The 20303-nt window shown below is 37.5% G+C and overlaps 1 long non-coding RNA gene across 1 annotated transcript in view, besides 2 other annotated features; it reads left to right on the top strand.

Moving 5' to 3' along the window:
- The window catches only part of TARID (TCF21 antisense RNA inducing promoter demethylation), a 386755-nt gene that overhangs the window by 185428 nt on the left and 181024 nt on the right, over positions 1–20303 (top strand). The gene's annotated exons all lie outside the window — the stretch shown is intronic.
- Positions 1745–1889: an enhancer, noted in NCBI's record as "145 bp enhancer 179 fragment used in the MPRA reporter construct; PK_construct_4085". NCBI's record gives its function as "activates an SV40 promoter by MPRA in K562 cells {active_cell/tissue: K562}" and the evidence as "EXISTENCE:reporter gene assay evidence [ECO:0000049][PMID:23512712]".
- Positions 1808–1825: a transcriptional cis regulatory region, noted in NCBI's record as "GATA motif; enhancer activity is reduced when this motif is scrambled". NCBI's record gives its function as "necessary for full MPRA enhancer 179 activity {active_cell/tissue: K562}" and the evidence as "EXISTENCE:site-directed mutagenesis evidence [ECO:0005528][PMID:23512712]".

The following is a 20303-nucleotide window of genomic DNA, read 5'->3' as shown; positions in this document are numbered from 1 at the left end:
TGCGCCGCTGCAGTCCAGCCTGGGCGACAGAGCGAGACTCCATCTCAAAAACAAACAAACAAAAAAAATTAGCTGGGTGTGGTGGCACACGCCTGTAGTCCCAGCTACTTGGGAGACTGAGGCAGGAGGATCACTTGAGCCTAGGAGGTCGAGGCTGTAGTGAGTCGTGATTGCCCCACTCCACTCCAGTGTGAGCAACAGAGTGAGACCCTGTCTCTAAAATAAATAAATTTTAAAAAATACATATTAAAACAAAAAGGAGTCATGCATCTCAAAGTGCAAGCCTGGTAGCTGGTAGCAGCTTTCTCAACCTGAGTGGCATTAGCTAGTTCATTCGCTCACATTAGAGAAAATTTCTTCCCTCTCACTAAACAAATCTTCTGAGTAATCACATATACCAAATATTGAGAGAACGTGGATCATTGGGACCTCATACATGGCTGGTAAAGTAGAATAATTGCTTTGGAAAAGCAATTTGGTGCTATCTTGTAAAGCAAAACATGCAAATAACCAGTAAATCCATTCTTAGGTGGACATAGAGTAGCCCAAGTGCACCAGGAGCCAAAGACAAGAATGTTTAGAGCAACTAATATGGTTAGGCTCTGTGTCCCCACCCAAATCTCATCTTGAATTGTAATCCCCATAATCCCCATGAGTTGTGGGCGAAACCTGGTGGGAGGTGATTGGATCCTGGGGGCAGTTGCCCCCATGATGTTCTCATGATAGTGAGTGAGTTCTCATGAGATCTGTTTGTTTGATAAGTGTGGGGCTTTTCCTCCTTCATGCACTTCTCTCTCTCACCTGTTGCCATGTAAGAGGTGCCTCTTCCCCTTCTGCCATGATTGTAAGTTTCCTGGGGCCTCCCCAGCCATGCAGAACTGCGAGTCAATTAAACCTCTTTTCTTTATAAATTACCCTCTCTGGTATGTCTTTATAGCACTGTGAAAACAGAATAATACGGCAACTCTGTTCAGACTTCTAAAAAGTGAGAAAGTACCCAAATGCCAACAGGGATACAAATAAATAAACCTGGTCTAGTCATACAAAGTCCTAGTACACAACAGTGAAAGTGAATGACCACAGAGCAGCATGCATAAAACTTAGAACAAAATGTTAAGTGATGAAAAGGCAAGTCCCGAATACTATAGATAGTATGATACCACTTTTAGAACACTCAGAAACTAAACACTATCTTGTTAAGATATAGGCATATGTGATAGAATCATTTTTGAAAGCAAGGAAATTAAAAACATAAGACTTTGGATCCTGGTCATCCTGGGTTGGGGGAGGCAGAGAGGGAGGGCTAGGAAAGAATACCCAGTGGAGGCTAATTTTTGGCGATGTAGTAATTCTTGGATTGTGGACACTTTATGACTCATAAAGAGGTCACACATATTCTTTTGTATATATCAAATATCATATTAAGGACATAGAGGAGAAAGGAAGATGTTAAGGGTTATCTTCTTTCATTTCTTTCTAGTCCTCAACAAGGAGAAATAAATAACTGAGAGGCTCAGAGAAAGTCCGATTGTTAGAGAAATTGCGGTCATGTCTCTCTTGAACTTTTTGCTGCCTTCAACACAATGCTTTCTTCACAGGAAGTGTCCAGGCAAAACCTCATTATCAACTCCAAACATGAAGCTCATGTCCAACAGGACATGGGAAGCTTTCAGTTGCCATACGCTGCCCCCAGAGAATCCACTCATTTTGTGTGCTTGTCGACTGTCATAGCTCAACTTGAGTGTCCACACGATAAGCTCTTCAAGGCAGAACATTTCCAGCTGTTGTGGTCAGACAGCAGCAGGTTCTTATCTGAGGACAGCAGGGCCATGTGGCACACCACAGCCGGGGCAGTGTCAGGGGAAGCATGTGGTCTCTGTACACAGTAGCAGGGTCCAATAGACAGCAATTAGCACCGGGAGAATGAAGATGAACGGGACATATACATAACCTTCATAAAAATGTCACAGGGAAAAAGACTCACAAACCATATGGATCCATGCTGGGGCTTTCCCAGGCATGGCCTTTTATGAGAGGTCTTTTCTCTGCTGTGTCTTCCTGGCCAGTTCTAAAAAGGGAAGTAAAGTAATAGGCTGCCTAGGTGATGTTGGATCAAATGTAAAGGACATTTAAATCCACATGTTGTAACTTTCTCCACTCTGAGTTTTCTTGATCAGTTGTCTCATCAGCATCATATGTTGATTGTTAATTAGATGGACCACCTCCTCTTGTACTATTTTCTCTTTCAGTTTTAGTGATATTTTTCTGAACCTATGAATATTTCAGAAATTTCCTCATCCATTTTCGAAAGACCAATACTTGGGTGTTCTTAGTTGTTAGCAAAGAAACAGAAATCCTCACTGGCTGACTTAAACAGAAATATAATTATTCAAAAGGATTTTGTCTCACTTACAAGATCATTGAGGTGGCTGCATAATCAGTCCCAGGAAACTGACTGTGCCTGACCCCATTCTAGGTACTCGAGAAATATCTCTGAAGGAAATAAACAAATGCCTCCACCCTCTTGAAACTTATACTCTAGGTTAGGGTCGGGGAGAGTGAGTTATTGGGAGACAGACCATACCAATGGATACCATAAAGAAGTAAGTTAGGTAAGATGATTGTAAGTGATAAATGTTTTAGAAAAAAGGAGAGCAGAGTAAGTGGAATGTGTTAGGGTTCTTCAGAAAAACAGTCAGGTTGACACATAAAATTAACCATTACAGGAGATAAGAAGGGTGGGTGTAGAGGGGCTTACATGTGCAGTTTTTAAATGGTGTGGTCAGGAAGGTATCATGAAAAGGCTGACATTCAAGCAAAGATTTGCAGAAGCATAGGAATGAGAGAACTTGTTGTGCCCATTGCAAAACATACAATATGGCATGTGGACCATTTCAGAAGGCACAAGGAAATGATTTCTGGGATTGGGGAGGGTGGGAGGGAGGTAAGAATGAGGGATGTGCTAAGCCTTATGGGGAATAAAGAGATAAGGGGGTTAACTGGGAGCATGGGGCTTTTTTTGCTAATTGATATAAACAGAGAAAAAGGGCTAAATGAGAGTATTCCTGGATGGATTCAAGGCAGAGAGTGTGGACTAGAGGAAAATAAATTTGGGGTAGCTTTGTCTTAGGCTTAATTTGCAGGTCCTTTCTGGCCCCTGAAAATGGTGGCAAAGGCCCAGGGAGAGAGTGGCCTCAGACTCAGTGCACTTATTGGAAGAGATGTCTGCTTATTTTGGGTTTTTAGGGTCTGTCTTAATATGTTAATAGAGTTAAGATTTTTGGAGAAGCTGGTGGTTATTCCCAGTGTGCAGACCTCTCTTGACACTTGATGACAGGGTAGAAAGTCTAGGTGATTTTGGTGGAGTCATCTGACCAGCTGCATCTAGGTCATGTTCCCATCCCTATTCCCAAAGGAGATTGGTAAATAGAATATCTGACTCATGATGCAAAGTCCTCAAACATTACACAGGGATTTGGATGCTGGACCATTGAAAAAGAAGGAAGATATTTAATGTATTTTTTAGTCTAGCCTTTTTAAAATGTAATGAATTTTGGGTTCTTCATAATACAAAATCCTCTTCTATCATTTTCTTTACAGTTTATTTGTTGAGGAATCTGGGCCATGTGCCCTGTAGTTTCTACCATCTGGACCTGCTGAGTGCATATTCATGGTGCTGTTCAACATGTTTCTCTGTTCTCTGTATTTTCTGCAAACTGGCAGATGAATTTAGTCTTTTTTTTTTTTTTTTTTTTTTTTTTTGAGATAGAGTCTTCCTCTGTTGCCCAGGCTGGAGTGCAGTGGTGTGATCAGGGCTTATGGCGGCCTCAAACTCTCAAACTCCTGGCCTCAAGGGATCCTTCCAGCTTAGCTTCCTGAGTAGCTGGGACTACAGGCACACACTAACATGCCTGGCTAATTTTTAATTTTTTTTTTTTTTGTAGAGATAGGGTCTCATCATGTTGCCCATGCTGGTCTGAACTCTGGGACTCAAGCGTTATGCTTCCACCTCAGCCTCCCAAAGTGCTGGGATTACAGCTGTGAGCCACTGTGGCTGGCTTGAATTCAAAGTTTTGATCTGACTTAAATGAAACCTTTTTTTTTTGCAAGATATACGAAGTGTTATTTCATCAGGAAGCAAATAATGTCTGGTTATCTTTTTTTGGGAGGTATTTTTAGCTACTATTGATGCCATATGCCTGGATCAATTAGTTCTGGGTTACAAAAGGATAGTTTTTTAAATTCCACATATTATTTTTAATTTATTATATTTCAACTTTAAATGCACTTTATTTTTTAGAACAGTTTTAGATTTACAGAAAAAGTGAGCCGATAGTACAGTGTGCCTACATTCCCTTCTCTCCATATAACCAGTTTCCCCTGTTACTATCTTACGATAGTACAGTATGGTTATTATAATTAATGAACCAATATTGATATAAGATTATTAACTATACCTAATGCCCTTTTTATGTGGCAGGATCCCATCTTAGCCTGCTTGGGCCACCATAATACTGTTACCGAAACATTAGGGGTTTGGTCTAGGTCCTGCTGCTTGCTGCACAGAAAGCCAATCACTGAGACAAGTATTGCCAAGGAAGAAGGCTTTAATTGGATGCTGCAGCTGAGGAGATAGGAGGTGAGAGTTCAGTCTCAAATCCATTTCCCTGACTGACTTAAACTAGGGGTTTATATAGCAGGGGAGAACTGTAACAATGTGTAAGAAAACAAGAACTAGGGAGGGGCAAGGAAGCAATCGTGGTGAATGAGGGGTCCCACATCTGATGCGGTGATCTGGTGAGTTTCAGTTCTTTAATACTTTATTTAGAGGCCTGAAGGTCCTGTCCAAAGGAAGGAACGCAGATAGAACAAATATAAGTTTCAAGCCTTAAGACCAGAAGGGTCAATTTCTATGTTTATCAAAAGATCAGCCTATAGGACCAGTGGGTTGGTTTCTTCCAGTTCTGGAAGCTGGGAAGTTCAAGATCAAGGTGTTAGCTGATTCAATTCCTGGTGAGGGCCCTCTTCCTGGATTGCATGCAGCTGCCTTTCTCCCACATCCTCACATGGCAAGGAGAGAGGGCAAGCTCTCTGGTGCCTCTTTTAAGGGCATTAATCACATCATGGGGGCCCCACCTGCGTGATCTCATCTAACTATTATTATCACTCAAAGGCCTGCATATCCAAATACTATCACATTGGGGGTTAGGGATTCAACATATATGAATTTAGGGAGAATACACATATTCCATCCATAACAACCATAATACATTTAGTCATCATTTCTTTTAGGCTTCTCTTGGCTGTCACAGTTTCTGAGACTCCTTGTTTTTGATAACCTTGAGAGTTTTTAGTATTGTAGAATGTTCCTGCATTGGGGTTAGTCTGATATTTTTCTCATGATTAGACTGGGGTTATGAGTTTTGGGGAGGAGATCATTTTTCCCTTCCCCCCTGCCAGAATCTGGAGGGAATCCTCGTATCTTCACTGGTAGAACATGGTGCGGTTCCTGGACATAAGACCCATGAAAAACTGTGGCCCTTAGGACTTTCTAACTCTCATACTAGTCCATATTCATTCAGTCTCCTGCAGTCTGTCAAAATTACCATGTAAGTGTTTTTACCAGTTTGTGGCTCCAGAGGCATCTGCTCCTGGTGAGATCTTGGCTGTGACTCTCTGTATCCATCTGTCTCTCCAGATTTCAGGGTGTCAAATTGCCATGCAGCTTCAGTCCTCTGAGTGTTGATGGAGAGCCAATGATTTTCAGTTTGTTCAGTTTTTTTCTTCTTGTAAATACATGAGTGATGATTTCCAAGCTTCTTACATGCCCAGGCTGAAATCAGAAGTCGCAGTCAATTCCTACTTATTAGCTTTGCTTTTTAAGGAGAGACTTTTTTTAAAAAAATCACCTATTAAATTACCCTGGGGTACAGTTATTAAAAAGGAAATATAAATTCCTGAATCTTTCCCTGTCTTTATCTTTATTCTGGCTAATGAATTGGTTTCCTATTTCTCTTAAAAGTGACCAATTAGTTCATGGATATTATTATCAACTCATGAATTTAAATACATTTAATAAGTTTCAATCCACTGTAATTATTATCTTTATTTAAGCTCAAGCTATTCCATCTTTGAACAGTAAGATCCTTTCAAGTTAGCTCCTCAGTCTTTTGGACATGACACTAGTGCTTTGACAGATTTCTAGCTATCTAGCTATCAATCAGATATGACAAGATGGTTCAGTCTCATCTTGAACATTTCCTGAACTAATTTAAGTATTTTAAGAACATAATCTGTATGGGCACTAGAGATTCTCATTCCTAACTGCATTAATCAATGATTCTAAGACTCAATGTACAGAGAAATATATGTAGACACACATATACTTACATGTACACACATAAATATGATACCTTATACATTTGTACTAATATTTCCAATTTAAATTTAGTATTATAAATATTTTATTTAGCCAATTAATAATATAACCATATCTTCTTTCTTCCATACCAAGTATCCTGGTTCTTAAGCTGTACTTCAAATATCAAGGCTGTAGAAAAACAGTTTTTTTGTTTTCGTTTTTTGGTTTTTTTTTTTGAGATGGAGTTTTGCTCTTATTGACCAGGCTGGAGTGCAATGGCGAAAAACAGTTTTAACTTACAAGAATCTAGGAAATCCTGGACTAATTAGCCCTTTTTGAGGAATCTACCATTTTAATGACTGGGAAAATTTCAGCAAAAGTTTGAGGGTGAGCATTTTAAAACATAATGATGTACATTGAAGATTTAATGGCAGGAATGATGGTGGAAGACTAATGTACAAATGTTACATACTGTGCCACAGATGATTCACCATAAAAAACGCATGAGAATGGCCCTCAAACATATAAAAAATGTTGAGCCTAATTAAAGAGAAATGGAACATTGAGCTGCTATTTCTCATCTATCATATTGGCAAAGATTTAAAACATAATGACACTTTCTTTGTTTAGGCTAGTAAAAGCAGACACTCTCATACATTGTTGGTGGGGAACTGCAGAAGATATAATAGTTGCAAAATATTGGAAATAAATAAAATACCCAAACATAAAAAAGTGGATGAATAAATCTGATATACCCACATAATGAAGTACTATGCAGCTATGAAAAAGAAAACAAAGAATTAGGAAGAGCTCTCTATGAACCAATTAGAGTGATTTCCAGGTTATACTGATAAGTGACAAAAGCAAAGTACTAAAGAGTATCTATATTATGCCACCCTTTTGTTAAAAAATAAAAGGATTTAAGAAAACACACTGGTATCTGCTCATTTGTGGAAAAGAAATTAAAAATAGTAAACCAGAAGCTAAAGATATGGGTTACCTACAGGTGGCGATGAGAAAGGGGTGGAAAGAAAGGAGGAAAGAGAATGTATTACCATGGATGAGAAGGGAGAACCACTTCTCCAAGCATATCTTTTTGTATGTCTTTGCCTCTTAGGAAGATAGTGACAGTTTTTACATATCCTCCCTCACTCAAGTAAATAAATAATTTGAATCAACTGAGATGTAAGGAGATCCAAAATGGAACATGAACACTAACAAATGAAGCTAGCCATCTTAAAAATTAACAAAATAATCACACCAAAGGGGGTGCAAAAGAATTCACGTAAGTAACCTTGGCAAAACAGTATTTTTACGGGCTACTGTAAAGCTAAAGACAAAAATAATTATACAAAAACACTGTACTCTGTTTAGTAAATCTGTTTCTAATAGGAGTTTGAATTAGCAATTTTATAGCTCTTTTATGTGTATACTGTGATTGAGTAAATAAATGAATATATTGTAAATAGATAATGAGAGCCAGATTCTCACTATTGGAGAAAGAATATAAAAATAAGGAAAAAGGGAAATCTAGAATGAATGTTCCGGTGTTGAGTTGGAATCAGAGCTATCCATTTGAATTCAGGGTTTCATACAGAGAGTTAAACATAGAAATAAATATAGATGTGTGTGCATGAATGTTTCAGTGCACATACATGTATTTCACAGCTCTGTCTGCTGAGAGGACCTAGGAGTAATGACATCCCAGTAGCAATGAGCATGTGTTGCACCCAGTTATTGGTTTCTAAACACCGTTCTCCAATAAAATAAATAATTCTTTGAAAAGTGGTTAATTCCAGGAGTGAGCAGCAAAAATACAAGATAAACTTGGTGCCAGGAAATAATGAGGAACTCAAAAAAGATGGGGCATGCCAAAGGCCACAGGTTGAAGCACTCAATAGCCAAATGTGGAACAATTTGAGCCACAAAATAAATAATGATTGTATTGTCTTATAGCCTATAGAATAAAATAAAGAATTTGTGAGCTCATACTTACATAAATGAATAATTGATCAAATAAATAAATGGAGGATAAGCAACAGCTCCACCTTACAGTATAAATTTAATTAATAAATGTCAATGGAAGAGGGAAATGTAAATGCAAAATTAGGCAAATACCACGATAATAATTGTTGCAGGTAAGATGCACTGTTGGATTCATGGGGAAATGTTTGAGAAGAAAAAAGACATTTAAATAGTGTCAAAGTATCTTTCCCAAGATATTTATCAATTAAAAAGGGCAAGATAATAACTACAGTGGAGAATCCTGGTAGAAAACACCTTTATCAAGTGTTCAAAGTTAACATCACCAGTAATACGACACATTGACCTCATGTACTCCCTACTTCTATGTTGCATTAAGAACTAAACATAACTTTTATGGTATTCTTGCCAGAAAATGCAAAATCTCAATATAACTATTAGAAAATATCAAACAAACTGAATTAACAGATATTCTACAAAAACTAATCAGTACTCATAAAAACTGTCAAGGTCATGAAAGACAAGGAAAGAATGAGGAACTGCCATAGTTTGGAGGAGACTCAGGAGACATAACTACCAAATACAATGTGGTATCTGAGATTACATCTTGACATAAACAAATAAAAAATGGCATTAGAAGAAAAATTGATGAAATTAGAATAACATATGCAGTTTGGTTAATAGTATTGTACCAATGTTAATTTCCTGGCATTGCTAATTTTACTACAATTATGTAAATGGTTAACATAAGGAGAAGCTGCATATGATTTCTCTTTATTATTTTTTGCAAATATTCTATGAGTTTAAAATTATTTCCAAATAAAAAGTTGAAAATACATAGTGAAAAGACATGCCACAGTATGAGAGAAAATAATTGCAACACATATATAAATATGAAAAGACTCATATCCAGAGTACACTATAGATCAAATAGAAAAAGACAAACAACATGGTAGAAAAATAGGCAAGAGACTTGTGTAGGTACTTTATAAGAGACGATATCAAAAATTCCAATAAATCCTTCAAAAGGTGCTCAATTTCATGAATCATCAAAGCATTGCAAATTAATACTACTATGAATACCATATTCATTCACCACAATGGCTAAAGTAAAAGATGGGCAAGACTGTGATGGGTCAAGATGCAGAGCAGCTGGTACTTTCATACACTGCTGGCCAGAGTATAAATAGGTACAACCACTTAAAAACTATTTGGCATTATCTACTAGAGTGTTATATATATTCTATATATATTATATATAAAATATATAATTCATATATTATATATATAATTTGACCTAATAATTCCACTTCTAGGTATGTACCCCATTAGAAATGGGAACATATGTTCACCAAAAGATGTGCCATAGCCAAAAACTGGAATCTACTCAAATGACTGTCAACAGTAGAATGGATAAATAAAGTGTAGTAATCATACAATGGAATACTATACAACCATGAAAATTAGTGGTACACAGTACAATGTGAATGACTCTCACAATCATAAAATTGAGCTAGAGAAGCCAGACATACATAAGGTATGCTATGAAATTATTGACGTGAAAGTCAAAAAAAGGCAAAACTAGTCTATGGTTTTAAAACTCATGATGGTGATTATGTTGGGTGAGGAGGCAGGAGTAGGGTGGGAACTTCTGGGGATTTGGTAACCATCTCTTTACTGATCTGGGTGGTCTTATGGGTATGTTCCACTTTGAGATAATTTATGGAGCTGTACTCTTGGGATTTTTGCACTTTGACATATGTGTGGTAGACTTCAGTATAAACACTTTCTTTAAAACTGTTTTTTCCTTAATAAAAACAATTGTTAGCTGCTTAGGAATACAGGTAAGGTGATACCCAGATATCAGTTGGAATCCTTTCCTGGATTCCACCCCCACCATCCTTTTTGTGTGGGATGGGATAATAAACATTTTCCCCCAGTATCTACACACTTCTATCTCTGATTTTCTACTTCTGAGAAATTCTCTCTTTTATTTCCTTTCTTTTTTTCTATTTTCTTTTGTATACCTTCCGTTGATCCTGATGGGGAAGACAAGCCCCCTGCCTTAATTTCTTCTCAAAACACTCACAAAAAGCCAATGTAGGTCATAGACCTTTACTGATGATTTAGAGCAAATGGGGCAAGGCAAGAGGCTTATGCAGATTATTTAACTTAAATATAAAGTTCTGAACTTTAAACTCTTTTCCATTATCCTTATCTCCTCTTCCCCCCAAAATCTTCTGCTGGAAATTTTTCAGTTTATCTCCTCTTGTTGAATTGCCATTCCCCATCATGTTTCTTTTCTTCACCAATCTTGTGTTTTTCCTTCTCCTCCCTAGCTAGCTTGTTGAGATCTCCTAAACATATTTTAAAAATTACCTTATCTCATGCATCAGCTTTATGGCCTTACCCTGGAAGCTAACTCCCCATACCAAACATGTCTCATCAAATTGGCTAAACCGAAACAGTCTTCTTCCCAGGACATGGATAAACTACTGCTTCCCAGGCAGACTTATGCCGATGGCCCTTAAGCTGACAACTTGTTTTCACTTTCCCCAATCCTTAAAGTATGTGTGTGTGTGTGTGTGTGTGTGTGTGTGTGTGTGTGTTTGCTTTTTTAGAGACAGGGTCTCCCTCTGTCGCCCAGGCATGATTATAGTTCATTGCAGCCTCAAACTCCTGGGCTCAAGTGATCCTTCTGCCTCAACCTCCTGAGTAGCTGTGACTACAGGCATGTGCCACCACCCTCGACTAATTATTATTTTATTTTTGTGGAGACAGGGTCTCTCTAATTTGCCCAACCTGGTCTCAAACTCCTGTCCTCAAGCCATCCTCCCACTTTAGCCTCCATAATTGCTGGGATTATAGGCATAAGCTTCTGTGCCCAGCCTCTTAAACTGTATTTATTCAGACTTATTTTCCTAAAATGTAGATCCCAGTGCACTGCCTTCAGTTTAATTTTAAAAGAATTAAAAATTATCCTTTAATTAAAAAATGGAGACAGCATAAAGACATGCAACAGCTTAAAAGGACAGAGTTGGTTTACTGTTCTTTTGTCTTTTTCTTCTGAGGACGAATTCATTCCTAGATGACCTTATCATATCTTTACAATCTGTTGCCAAACTAATATTGTATTAGTCTGTTTCCATGCTGCTGATAAAGACATACCTGAGACTGGGCAATTTACAAAGAAAGAGGCTTAATGGGCTTACACGTCCACATGGCTGGGGAGGCTCACAATCATGGTGGAAGGCAAGGAGGGGCAGGTCACATCTTACATGGATGGCAGCAGGCAAAGAGAGAGAGCTTGTGCAGGGAAACTCCCCTTTTTAAAACTATCAGATCTCATGAGACTTATTCACTATCACGAGAACAGCGCAGGTAAGACTTGCCCCCATGATTCAATTACCTCCCACCAGTTCCCTCCCACAACACATGGGAATTCAAGATGAGATTTGGGTAGGGACACAGCCAAACCATATCAAATGTCTTCATTCATATTCCTCTGTCTTATATTTTACTTCACAAGAATTACATTTGTAGTTGCCGGATGGACATTATTACACAGAAATCTGTTGTTACAACCATTTTATCATATCTAAAACCCAATTACCCAATTAATGTTTTCTGTTTGTCCACAACACTGGTCCACAACACGATTACATCATGCTAACCGTACCGGATAAACAGATAGTGGAAAGTACTTTGGATACTTAGTAAAACTGATGAACAGCAGAGGACATGAAATAAACATTGATTTATTTTAGAGGCTTCTCACATTAATAAGGTTTTTTGTTTGTTTGTTTTGTTTTGTTTTTGAGACAGACTCTTGCTCTGTCACCCAGGCTGGAGTGCAGTGGTGTGATCTTGGCTCACTGCAAACTCTGCCTCCCAGGTTCATGCCATTCTCCTGCCTCAGCCTCCCAAGTAGCTGGGACTACAGGCACCCGCCACCACTCCTGGCTAATTTTTTTATATTTTTAGTAGAGACATGGTTTCACCATGTTTGGTCTTGATCTCCTGACCTCGCGATCTGCCCGCCTCGGCCTCCCAAAGTGATGGTATTACAGGCATGAGCCACTGTGCCTAGCCAATAAGGTTTTTATGAGTCCAGTGGTTTGGGGCAAAATGGAACATCCTTTCTAAGATAAGGGACAACTTGCTGTTTCTTGCAGCCATTCTCATTACAAAAGAAGTGTGATGCTTTTCAGCCCTCTGGATTTTGAGGCAGCTTCTACTGCATGTGGGAATACTGCTCTGGCTCACATGTCACATGGCTCAGAAGGCTACCAGTTTTGAGAAGGACCCAGCATGAAGGAGAATTGTGTGCCAGATCCAGACTCAGTGAAAGTTGTCGTGACCCTTGAGCCATTTGTATCGCAGATCTGAGAGTCCTAAAGGTATCCACGGTGGATGAGGATGCAGGTGGAAGGTCTAGCAACCTCCATCAGGGGAGTCACAGTTCAGACACCTACCATCAGACACCTAGAGCTGGGGCATACCTGCTGTAGCAGAGAATCAACAACTTGCTGTTTAAAAGCAGTTCCTAGTGTGTTCTTGAGCCCTTGCAGAGTCTGAGTGTCTGCCGTTAGGACCTCAGTGACAATGATTCAGAGAAAAGCTGGTTGGAAACCTGAATGTGGCACGATCCTTTGAGATACCAGACATCTGTCTCAGACCCCAGAGGGGGCAGTGATGTATCCTGACCAGAAATAGCATCCACACTGGATGTGAGTTTGCTTTTCTTACCTGCAGTGCCTCAGCCAGCACCATCATGCAAGGAATTACAAAATGCCAATCATTGGTATGGTATCCCAACTAGCAATGGCTGAGATTGAGGTGCTTATTTTATGACAAGGGACATCTGGTACCAGACTATAAATCTTATCGCTCAGAAGCAGTTCAACTGAGGCACCAGCAAAGTGGGTTGTCATTGTCCAGGATGTGGTATGTTTGCTTGTCCAGTATTGGATGTTTGGGGCAGAGTCATTAGAATACTTGGGTCTGGCAACCAAAGCACAGAAGAAATACCGGATCCTGTTGATGTAGGAGGTGGGACTTGACTCCAGAGGCAGGGCTGCGACAACGGACCAGATTAAGGACTAGCTAAAACAGGGCCAAGGTCAAAGCAGCTTTCAATCAGATACACACATCAGTGTGCTATGTCAATTTACCATTGCCATGGCAACACTCAGGAGTTACCATCCCTTTCCGTGACAATGACCCAGTGACCCAAAAGTTACTACCGCTTCCCTAGAAATCTCTGCATCAACTGCCCCTTATTTGGATGCAGTTAAAAGTGGGTGTAAATATGACTGCAAAACTGCCATGAGCTGCTACTCTCTGCCTGTGGGGTAGCCCTAATCTGCAGGAGTAATCACAGACTTGTAACACTGTCAGAGCTGTAACACAGTTTTCCATAAAGCTGTTTTCTTCTACCTCTGGCTTGCCCTTGAATTTTTTCCTGGGAAAAGCCAGGAACCCTCATGAACTAAGTTCCACTTTGGGGCTCACCTGCCCCCATCACCCTCGCCATCATGGTGACCCTCTTTTGGAATTTGTGTTTCCCATTTCTGCTCTGCCAGATCAAGTGTCCCAGTTCTCAGGGAAGGGAACACTTCCACTAAAGCACATAGGAAAGAGTACTCTGAATTTAAAGTTCCAACTAGCACCCGGCCACTTTGGGCTTCCCATGTCAGCAAGAAAAGGAGTAACCTAAAGTAATCAACTCTAATTGCACTGAAGATGTAGGTTTGCTGTTACATGACGAGAACAGAGAGGTATATCTCAACTGCTAGGTATTTCTGGGATGTCTCTTGGTGTTTCTGTGCTCAGTGACAATGGTGAATGGATATGTAACAACCATTGTTTGAAAAGGGAAAGTTACTAAGGCTTAGACTCTTTAAGGAAGAAGAATTAGGTCACCACACTAAGCAAGCTAAGGCGCTGTCAAAGGATGAAAGATTTCTAGAATGGGTAGTGGAGGAGTGAGATGAGAAATATCAATTTCAGTCTCAGAACGAACTGCAGTAGCTTGTCACAATAAGCCATGTGTATAAAGTCCTTACAGATACTGCTGCTGGTTTTGACCTAGAAGGGAACCCTATGATGGGCTTGACTTAATGGATCATAACTGCATTTAAAAAACACAAAGGATGGACTACATCATACCTTTCTTGTGTGTCACTTCATATCTTCCATGTAGATATCCACCAGCTTTCCTCAGGAGCTTCTTGACAACACCTCACTCAGACCTGCTGTCACTTTTTCCCCAGAACATCTCTGATGCTGCAGCACAGGATGTTTGCACGAACCCACTTAGCTTTCATGAATGTACAAACCAGGACTGCAGAGATGACAGATCTGTAGGAGCTTCCTTTACTAATGGGGGAAATGGGGCCACGTCATAAATGCTTTTCTCTTTTTTTGTTCCCTGTTTGGACAATTCTGAGACATGTTCCATGAGATTCCTGAGAAATTCCTGGCTACATGGTGCATCAGCCCTCCATAGTGATGGCCAATTCAACATGCACCCTTGGATTATTTCCCTTTCTCCTGTCTCAATCCTCATGCCCCCTCCCTTTCTCACTTGTATCACTCCCCAAATAAACTATCTGTGGGTAAGGCTTTGTATTAGGGGTTCTCTTTAGAGAAATCTAGACTAAAATAAATTGGAGAAGAGATTAGAGCTGGAGAATGAAATTGATCAAAATTTCATTTCAGTCCCTTCAAAACTGACTGTAATTAATTAGTTTGGCAGGCTTGGCTATCATGCACTTATGTGAACTCTTAGGTATGAAGGTAGAGAAGTTTAGCTGCCTGAAACGATGGGGTCATTATTATTCTCCAGATTACTCAGGATCCAGTTCTAGTGGGCTGCCTCAACTCAGTCTACCCTCAGAGAACCCTCAAGAAATTGGTTGTGTAATTGCATTGCATAATAAACTGTATCTATAACCAAACTAAATTCTATGCTCACCTTATCAACACTATAAGCTGGTTCCTCCTGTACTTGACAAGTATAATATCAATAAATCAATTTTAGTGTTTTAACATTAAAACCTTGTCTCTTTTTATTATCAGGTCTGAAAGTGATAGTGTATCATTTATAATGCACCCTGAACCAAGAATGCCCTCTTATAAAAGTCCTCAGTTTGTTTTTCCTCTGTAGAACAATATCCCTATAAACTGCAGAGAATCCATTGTTAAAACATGGAAGCTGTCTTTGATGATTTTAACTATACTAAGTAATAAAGTCATTTTGGTCCAAATGCAAGAGAAAAGTCTCTACCTCCCTTTTATTTCTGTGTGTCTCATTAAAGAAAGGGCTAAATGTTAATTTGGGAAATCAACAACTTTAAATGATGAAGGAAATGAGTTTTTTTCAGTACCAATAATTTAAAAGTCTATCTTGAATGTTTCAGCATTGGATAAGAAGAATGATGAAGCTATTAATAATTCTGCCTTCGTGTTACCAAAAATTGTTTTAATGAAAGACAGCGTATTCTGGATTTAATGTAAATCAGGCTAAGAGAAACATAGTGCCTTAAAAATAATTAGACATCCAATTGAAAAATCTTGCTTCTATAATCTTTCTACCCCACATCTTAGCCTGCTCTCCAAGGTAAAACTATAACGGGGTCTCTCTGGTTCCTTTTCTGTCCCCCGTGTTCATCTAGAAAAGACGTGAAGAGCAAAACTATACAAGACCTCTGTTTCATTAAACAAACTCAAGTCCAAGAAGATGCTTCACTTAAAAATTCAGCTAGCCTAAATGTGATAAGTTCTATTGATATTTTTCTTCAGTCATGAAAATGTTAATCAAATTTTCCACCTGAAGATCCAACTGATAATTTAAAATGATACATTAATTAAAATTAGTTGAAAACATTTTTAGATGAACAGAAAAGAAGTTTTGAAACTATGGGAGGGTGAGAAACATGGAAAATTACATACATTATATAAGTACAATTGAATAAATGCTAATATATTATTTAATACATTGTATGGTCTACAATATTTGAATAAGTAAAATACATGACAACTAATAGATCAAAAGGTGGGAAAAGAGTATATGCATTGTTGGGGACATAGCAAAAATAATAAATATTAAAAAATAAATCAAAAATGTATGTTTTAATCTTTAGGGTAATCCATAAAAGAATAGTAAAATGAATTATAAAGTAGTAGAGACTGTGGAATAGTACTTGATTAATACTTGACTAAAATTGAGGAAAAATAAAAAAATTAATCTGTTCTCACACTGTTAATAAAGACAAAGGCGAGACTGGGTAATGTATAAAGGAAAGAGGTTTAATTGACTTACAGCTCCACATAGCTGAGGAGGTCTCACAATTATGGCAGAAGGTGAATAAGGAGCAAAGTCACGTCTTACATGCCAGTAGGCAAGAAAGCTTGTTCAGGGGAACTCCCATTTATAAAACCATCAGATCTCATGGGACTTATTTACTACCACTCGAACAGTTTGGGGGAAGCCTCCCCATGATTCAATTATCTCCACTTGGCCCTGCCCTTGACATGTGGGGATTATTACAATTCAAGGTGAAATTTGGATGTGGACACAGCCAAACCATATCAGAACAAAAAGAAAGTAAATAGTAGGATAGTCAATTTAAACAAAAATATATGAGAGTTTTAATTAAATGTAAGCAGTCTAAATACTGTGATTAAAAGATTTGTCAGTTTTTTTTTTAAGCCAGACATTTATGACATACATGAGATGCATTTTAAATGTAAGGCTGTAGAAATGTTGAAAGCAAATTTAAAAGAGAAAAAAATTAATAAAAAAGCTGTATACACAAATATTAACCAAAAGAAAGTTGATATATAACATTAGAAAAAGTGGGCTTTTATGCAAGAATAATTGCCTATATATGTTTCAGTTCATTAATTCTCTTTTTAGCAGTGTTCAGTCCTCTGTTTAATCAATCCATTGAGTTCTTTATTTTGGCTAATCTATTTTTCCAAGTAGAATTTCTATCTGATTTTTTCTTTATTCTATTTCTTGGCTGAAAAACTCTATTGTGTCATGTATTTTTCTTGAACAGGTTAATCACATTATTTTAAAGTCTGTGTCTGATAACTAATATTTTATCAATTATGCATCTATTTCTATTATTCTATTATTTCTATTATCCCAAGTTTTTCTCCTTGTTTTCAGTGATTTGATTCTGTGTCTGGTATGATTGATAATTTTTACTGGATGTCAGACACTGTATATGAAAAGATTTAAAGATAACGTGAGGCTCCTGATGTAGCTGATTTTCTACATGGAGGACAAATTTTTGCTTCTGGCAGATAGCCAATTAGAAGAGAAATAGGTAAACTTAATTGGTCTTGTACTGAACTGACACAAGGTTATTTTGTTTTTTGTTTGTTTGTTTGTTTTAATAATAGTGAGAAGTACTCTATTTCCATTTCCCTTAGCCCAAGAGTATAGACTTTCTGGGCTTTAAAGGGAATGTCTGGAGTATTTTACCTATGATGAGGTTTGAACTCCAGTATTATTCTCCCCAGCTTTTGAGACTGTCAAAATTCTCCACTGTTTTTCATTTTAATTACCAGTTTTTGTTAGACCTCTAGCCTCTTGGCCAAAAGTTATGGATTGGCAAATATTTCTATGGTCCAGGCAATAGTAAATGTTGATCTTATATCACTGTTCTGATCTCCTTGCAATATTGGTTCCTAATATCCTAACTATTTTGATTGTTCTGTGACATCTTAAAACTGATTTTTAAAAAATTTCCAGTTATTTTTGTTGTCTTACATTAAAATATTTAGTTTCATGCAAGTTAGTCAGCTATCATTACAAGTAAAAACCCTATGATTGTTATTTTGTTTGTATAACCATTTATTATAGAGAGGTTGAGAGTACTTTTATATATTTACTGGCCATTGTGTTTTCTTCTCTGTGAGCTCCTTGCCCACTATTTATTGGGTTGTCTTTTGGTTTATAATACATGAAGAACTATTTGAGAGATACTATTTGAGAGAAAGGAGATTTTAATATGCCTGCAAATATCTTCTAGTCTGTAACTTGTCTTAATTTTTTTATGTTGTCATTTATCACACAGAAATTTTAAATTTTGATAGTTAAATTTCAAACATCTTTTCCTGTGTAGTTTTGATTTAACAAATTATTCTCTATCCTGATATCATAAAGATATCCTTCTAATTTTTCTCCTAAAATTTTTGCAGTGTTAATTTTTATATTTATGTCTTTAATTTACCAGGTTTGTTTTTCTGTGTTGCCTTATTAGGAATAGCCAGTTATTCTACAACATGTGTCAAAGTGCCAATAATTTCCCAACCATTTGGTAGTGACACTGTGTTTTTTTTAAATTAATTATATTATTTTAAAATTCATTAATAGTATTAATTTCTTCACGTTCACATGAATTTCTTAAAGACAGTGATTGTATCCTGTGGTCTCCCAAACTCCTCAAATTTCATAAAAACTAAATATTTATGAATGGATATATTGATCTAGATTGGTTGATTGATATGTATTTGTAAATAACATAGCATTTTATACCTATCACAAAATTTACACTCATGATTTCTAGCCAAAATTTTCCAACCTATGCAACAAAATATTGACTTTTGGTGCCTCTAAAATAAAGTTCTAAAAAAGTGATAACGGTGCTAGCTAACACTCATTGATTACTGATTGTAAGCCTGGCAATGATCTAAGAACTTTATATGTTTTAATTCATTTATAAGGAAACTATGAGTCAGGGGAATAGCATTATCTTTCATTTTTCAGATGAGATAATAGACCACATTATAGTGAATTTTTACTTAAGTTTATGAAGATAGTCAATGCAGAGTCACTTTATTTAAATGTGCTTTATTTTAATTTATAATATAAATGAAGTATTGCTACTACACAACTTTCAGGCAAACACTGAATATGAATATATCTCTAAATACAGCTATAATCATTTCTGTGTGGTATGTTCACATTTATATTTCTATATACAAATGCTGTTATCATTATCCTTAATAATTCATTAGAAGCTTACCAGATTTGCGGTGTTAGACAAGGTGTTAAAATTAACTATAATTTGTTTGAATCTACATAAAAAATTTGGTATGTCTGAGTTTCACAATTCTTTCCTTGATCATGGCTGCATTTCAAGGGATAATGCACTTTATCTGCTGCTCTGGTGGTAAAAACAAATTTCACATAAATGGAGTAAAGAGCATTTAATGAACTGAGCTCCATGCATGTGAAAGCCAACAGCAATATTAGAAATGGTGTTTATTTTATGGCCCAGAAACTGCATTTTAAATGCTAGTATATGTTTATATGACAGTTCTATTAAATATAAAAGAGTCCCATTACAAGGGAAATCCTTTGCATGGGCTTTTTATATGGTCTAAATAGCATACCCAGCTCTGCAACTACTCATGTGAGACATTTTTAGAACCTTATTTATGTTAAAGCCATAACAAACTAGCAACTAGAAAACTATAATGGGCACAAACGGCTAATAAAAATGAGATTGTTGAAAATACTTCTCAATAGTAACTTAGGAAGTATCCTGATGAAACAAAGTTAAGGCTTGGTGTCTCTGGAAGCCTGCCACCGCAGTAATCACAGACATTTGGCCACAGGTACTCCCCTTTTCCATCTTTGCTTTTCTGGCTGAAAACTAAATAGCCAATGCAGTTTAAGGTTGGTATTTGCCCCATTTTTCATTGTAATGCCTACTGAGCCAGAGGTGCTCTAGAAAAAAATCCTAGGATCATTCTTCCTCCCTGCACTGATTATTCACTCAGTGATCCCTCTGCAGAAGCCAGATGCTCCCAAGATGATTAGAGGAGGAAGAATGCCAGGATGCGTTCTGGCTCCATTTGTGCACATGTGTGTACACAAGCTGCTTATGTGTGCAAATGTGTGCAATATATGTAAGTCCTCAACACTTGAAATCTG

Source organism: Homo sapiens, chromosome 6 (assembly GCF_000001405.40).
Source record: "Homo sapiens chromosome 6, GRCh38.p14 Primary Assembly".
NCBI classification, from domain to species: domain Eukaryota; kingdom Metazoa; phylum Chordata; class Mammalia; order Primates; family Hominidae; genus Homo; species Homo sapiens.
Note: the sequence above shows the minus strand (reverse complement) of the source record. Positions and strands in the feature narration are given on the sequence as shown.